At 39.3% G+C, this 5,511-nt stretch overlaps 1 annotated feature.

Annotated features, from left to right (window-relative positions):
• Nucleotides 294-494: a silencer, noted in NCBI's record as "peak4533 fragment used in MPRA reporter construct". NCBI's record gives its function as "represses an SCP1 promoter by STARR-seq MPRAs in K562 erythroleukemia cells {active_cell/tissue: K562}" and the evidence as "EXISTENCE:reporter gene assay evidence [ECO:0000049][PMID:32103011]".

Raw genomic sequence — 5,511 nt, forward strand, 5'->3', positions numbered from 1 at the left:
GGTCAGTAGTTTGAGACCAGCTTGGCCAACATGGTGAAACCCCATCTCTACTAAAAATACAAAAATTAGCCCGGCATGGAATTAGCCAGGCATGGTGGTGCACGTCTATAATCGCAGCTATTCGGGAGGCTGGGGCATGAGAATCGTTTGAACCTGGGAGGTAGAGGTTGCAGTGAGCTGAGATCACACCACTGCACTCCAGCCTGGGCAACAGAGTGAGACCCATCTCAAAAAAAAAAATTCTTTATTTTCAAAAGTAACAAATATCTCAGGAAACCAGAAGTAGAGAGGAACTTACTCAATTAGAACATTTACAAAAACCTAGATGCTTTTCTTGATAAGGTCAGGAACAAGGCAAGGATGTCCCCTCTTATCACTCCTTTTTAATATTGTACTGGAAGTCCTAACCAATGCAATAGGACAAGAAAGGGAACTAAAAGGGGTATATATTGAGAAGGAAGAAATAAAACTTCATATTCACAGATGACATGATTGTTGATGTAGAAAATCCAAAAGAACCCTAAATAGCCCTCCAAGACCTCTGGAACTAATTAAGCAATTATAGCAAGACTATAGGATACAAGATTGTTGTGCAGAAGTTAATCACATTTCTGTATATTAGCAATGAAAAATGGAATTTGAAATTTAAAACAAAGCCAGGCATGGTAGTGCACACCTGTAGTCCCAGCTACTTGGAAGGCTGAGGTGGGAGGATCACTTGAGCCCAGGAGTTCAAGGCTGCAGTAAGCCATGATCGTACCACTGCACTCCAGCCTGGATGACAGAGCAACACTCTGATACTAAAAAATAAACACAAGACCATTTAAATTAGTGCCCAAAGGCCAGGCGCAGTGGCTCACGCCTATAATCCCAGCACTTCAAGAGGCTGAGGCAGGCAGAGCACCTGAGGTCAGGAGTTCGAGACCAGCCTGGCCAACATGGTGAAACTCCGTCTCTACTAAAAATACAAAAATTAGCCGGGCGTGGTGGAGGACGCCTGTAATCCCAACTACTCAGGAGGCCGAAGCAGGAGAATCACTTGAACCCAGCAGACAGAGATTGCAGTGAGCTGAGATCACGCCACTACACTCCAGCCTGGGCAACAGAGCGAGACTCCGTCTCAAAAATAAATAAATAAATGCATAAATAAATAAATAAATAAATAAATAAATAAAATTAAAATAAATTAGTACCCTAAAATGAAATACTTAGGTGTAATTCCAACAAGATACGTATAAGACCTGCATGACGAAAACTATAAAACTAATGAAAAAAATCAAAGATCTAAATAAATAGAGGTGTTCATGAATAGGAAGACTAGTATTGTGAAGATATCAGTTCTTCTAAACATGATCTATAAATTCAATGCAATCCCAACCCAAATACCAGCTAGTTATTTTGTAGATATCAACAAGCTGATTCTAAAGGGGGTTTGTCTGTTTTGTTTTGTTTTTTAAGGCAGGGTCTTGTGCTGTTATGTAGGCTGGAGTGCAGTGGCATGATCTTAGCTCATTGCAATCCCTACCTCCCAGGTTGAAGTGATTCTCCTGCCTCAGCCTTCTGAGTAGCTGGGATTACAGGTGTGCACCCCTATGCCCGGCTAATTTTTGTAGTTTTAGTAGAGATGGTCTCACCACATTGGCCAGGCTGGTCTCGAACTCCTGACCTCAAGTGATCTGCCTGCCTCAGCCTCCCAAATTGCTGGGATTACAGACATGAGCCACTGTGTCCGGCTAATTCTAAAGTTTTAAACTAACACTACCTCAACACATCATAAAGCTGCAGTAATCAAGACAGTGTGATATCAGCAAAAGATTAGGCAAATAGATTACTGGAACACAATAAAGAGTCCAGAAGTAGACCCACACAAATAGAATCATCTGATCTTTGGCAAAGAAGCAAAAGCAAAACGATAGAGTCCGTAATGGATGGTGCAGGAACAACCAGACATCCACGTGCTATATATATATATGTGTGTGTGTGTGTGTGTGTGTGTGTGTGTGTGTGTGTATATATATGAATCTATACACATCTTACATCCTTCATAAAAATTAAAATGGAACACAGACCTAAATGTAAAACTATTAAATTCCTAAAATAATGAACATTGGAGAAAATCCAGATAACCTTGGAATTGACTGACTTTTTAGGTACAACACCAAAAGGATGATCCATGAAAAAAGCAATTGGTAAGCTGGACTTCATTAAAGTTAAAACATCGCTCTGCAAAAGACACTGTCAAGAGATTGAGAAGATAAGCCACAGAGTAGGAGAAAAGATTTGTAAAAAACATACCTGATAAAGGACTATTCAATACAAAGAACTCTGAAAACTCAACAAAAGAAAAATAAAAACCCAATTTAAAAATGGGCAAAAGATCTAAACAGACACCTCATATACAAATGACAAGTAATTGTATGAAAAGACTCCCAACATCATAAATCATCCAGTAATTGCAGATTAGTGCTACAATGAGATACCATCATACACCTACTAGAATGGTAAATCTAAAACACTTAATGAAACCAAATGCTGACAAGGATGTGTAACAGGTACTCTTCATTCATTGTTGGTGGGAATGCAAGATGGTACAGTCACTTTGGAATACACTTCAGCAGTTTCTTTAAAAAGTAAACATACAATTTGGCTGTTGCACTCTTGCGTATTTCCCCAGAATTGAAAACAGGTCCACATAAAAACCAGCATGTGAACATTTATCACAGCTTTATTCATAATTGCAAAAACTTGGAAGCAACCAAGATGTCCTTCAGTAGGTGAATGGATAAGTAAATGGTGATACATCCAATGGAATATTATTCAGTGTTAAAAAGAAATGAGCTATCCTATACTATAATGGTGTATAAATCACTTAATATAAACTCTAGTATGAAGGTTAAAAGACAAATATTTAACTATACTACAATAATCTGTTAATGGATATACAGTATAAAAATATGTAAGTCATTACTTTAAAGATATAAATGGGAGAAAGTAAAAGTATACAGTTTTTGTATGGAAGTGATTAGCTTAAAATAGATGACTGTTTTAAGATGTTTTATGTAAGCCTCATGGTAACCACAGGGCAAAAGTCTATACTAGATACACAAAAGATAACGGGTAAGGAATCAAACCATTCCACTGTAAAAATTCATCACTTCACAAAGGAAGACAGCAAAAGGGGAAGAAGGGAACAAAAAATTTACAAAAACAGAAAACACTGAACAAAATGACAATAGTAAGTCCTTGCCTGTCAATAATTCCCTTGAATGTAAATGGACTGAATTCTCCAATCAGAAGACAGAGTGGCTAAATGGATAAAAAACAAATCCCAACTATAGGCTATCTCGCTGTCTCACTATCTCAATGAGCCATCTACCATTTTCATTGCAGTATTATTCACAGTAGTCAAGATATGAAAACAACCTAACTGTCCATCGATGGATGAATGGATAAAGAAAATGTTGGAGATGCATTATATATACAAAAATGTAAAGGTGCTCACCATCACTATCACCAATTATCAGGGGAATGCAAGCCAAAAACCACAATGAGATATCACCTCATACCTGTTAGATATGTGTGTGCATGCCTATCTATATATAGGTATATATATGCCCACACATAGTACATTATTTTATTCCACTGCACATATATATGTATTATATATATATGCACACACACAGTAACATTATTTGGCCTTTAAAGAGAAAATCTTGCCATTTGCAACAACAACATGGATGAGCCTGGAGGACATTATACTAAGTGAAACAAGCCAGACACTGAAAAACAAATACTGCATCTCACTTGTATGTGGAACCTAAAAAAGTCAGACTCATAGAAACAGAGTAGAAGAGTAATTACCACGGGTCAAGGGATGGGGATTAACAGGGATATGTTGGTCAAATAGTACAAGCTTACCGTTATGGGTGCATTCTGGAGAACCAATGTGCAGTATGGTAATTGTAGTTAATAAAATATGTTGTATACTTGAAATTTGCTGGAAGAATAGATCTTAAGTATTCTCGGCTGACCGTGATGGCTCACACCTGTAATCCCAGCATTCTGGGAGGCCAAGGTGGGCAGATCACTTGAGCTCAGGAGTTCAAGACCAGCATGGGCAACATGGCAAAATCCCCTCTCTACAAAAAATACAAAACAATGAGCTGGGCATGGTGGCATGTGCCTGTAGTCTCAGCTCCTTGGGGGGTTGAAGCAGGAGGATTTCTTGAGCCAGAGAGGTGAGGTTGCAGTGCGCTGTGATCATGCCACTGCACTCCAGCCTGGGCAACAGAGCAAGTCTCTGTCTCAAAAAATTAAAAATAAAAAGCATTCTCACCAGAAAAAAAGGTAACAATGTTAGGTGACAGATATGTAAACTTAATTGTAATCATTTCACAATTGTAATCGTTTCACAATGTATATATATGTCAAAACATCATATTGTACACCTTGATATACCGTTTTTTTGTTATCAACTGTACCTCAATAAAGCTGGAATGGGACGGAGAAATGAGCTATCAAGCCATGAAAAAAACATGGAGGAACCTAACATGCATATTACTATATGAAAGAAGCCAATCTGAAAAGGCTACATACTATATTATTCCAACTACATGACATTACGGAAAAGGCAAAGATAAGGATGCAGCAAAAAGATCAGTGCTTGCCTGAGGTTAGGGGAGAGGGAAGGATGAACAGGTAGAGCACCAATGGATTTTAGGGCAGTGAAACTGTTCGGTATGGTACTATAATGGTGGCTAAACATGCCATTATACATTTGTCAAAACTCAGAATGTACAACAAGAGTGAACCATAATGTAAACTATGGACTTTGAGTGAAAATGATATGCTAATGCAGGTTCATCAGTTGTAAAAATGTACCACTCTGGTGGGGAATATTGATGTAGGGGGAGGCTGTGGGTGTGTGGGAGGAAAGAGATATATTGGGACTCTGTACTTTCCACTAAATTTTGCTGTTAACTTAAAACTGTTCTTGGGTGGGAGCAGTGGTTCACACCTGTAATCCCAACACTTTGGGAGGCCGAGGCGGGTGGATCACCTGAGGTCTCCTGACCTTAGGTTCGAGACCAGCCTGACCAACATGGTGAAACCCTGCCTCTACTAAAAATACAAAATTAGCCAGGCGTGGTGGTGCATGCCTGTAATCCCAGCTACTTGAGAGGCTGAGGCAGGAGAATCACTTGAACCTGAGAGGCAGAGGTTGCAGTGAACCAAGATGGCGCCATTGCATTCCAGTCTGGGTGACAGAGTGAGACTTCATCTCAAAAAAAAACCAAAAAAACTGTTCGAAAAAATGAAGTCTATTTAAGGCCAGGTGCAGTAGTTCCCACCTGTAATCTCTAAACTTTGGCAGGCCAAGGCTGGAGGATCACTTGAGACCAGGAGTTCATTTTTTTTTTTTTTTTTTTTGAGATGGAATCTCACTCTGTCACCCAGGCTAGAGTGCAGTGGCACGATCTTGGCTCACTGCCAGCTCCGCCTCCCAGGTTC

The sequence above is a fragment of the Homo sapiens genome, chromosome 3, assembly GCF_000001405.40.
Source record: "Homo sapiens chromosome 3, GRCh38.p14 Primary Assembly".
NCBI lineage: Eukaryota > Metazoa > Chordata > Mammalia > Primates > Hominidae > Homo > Homo sapiens.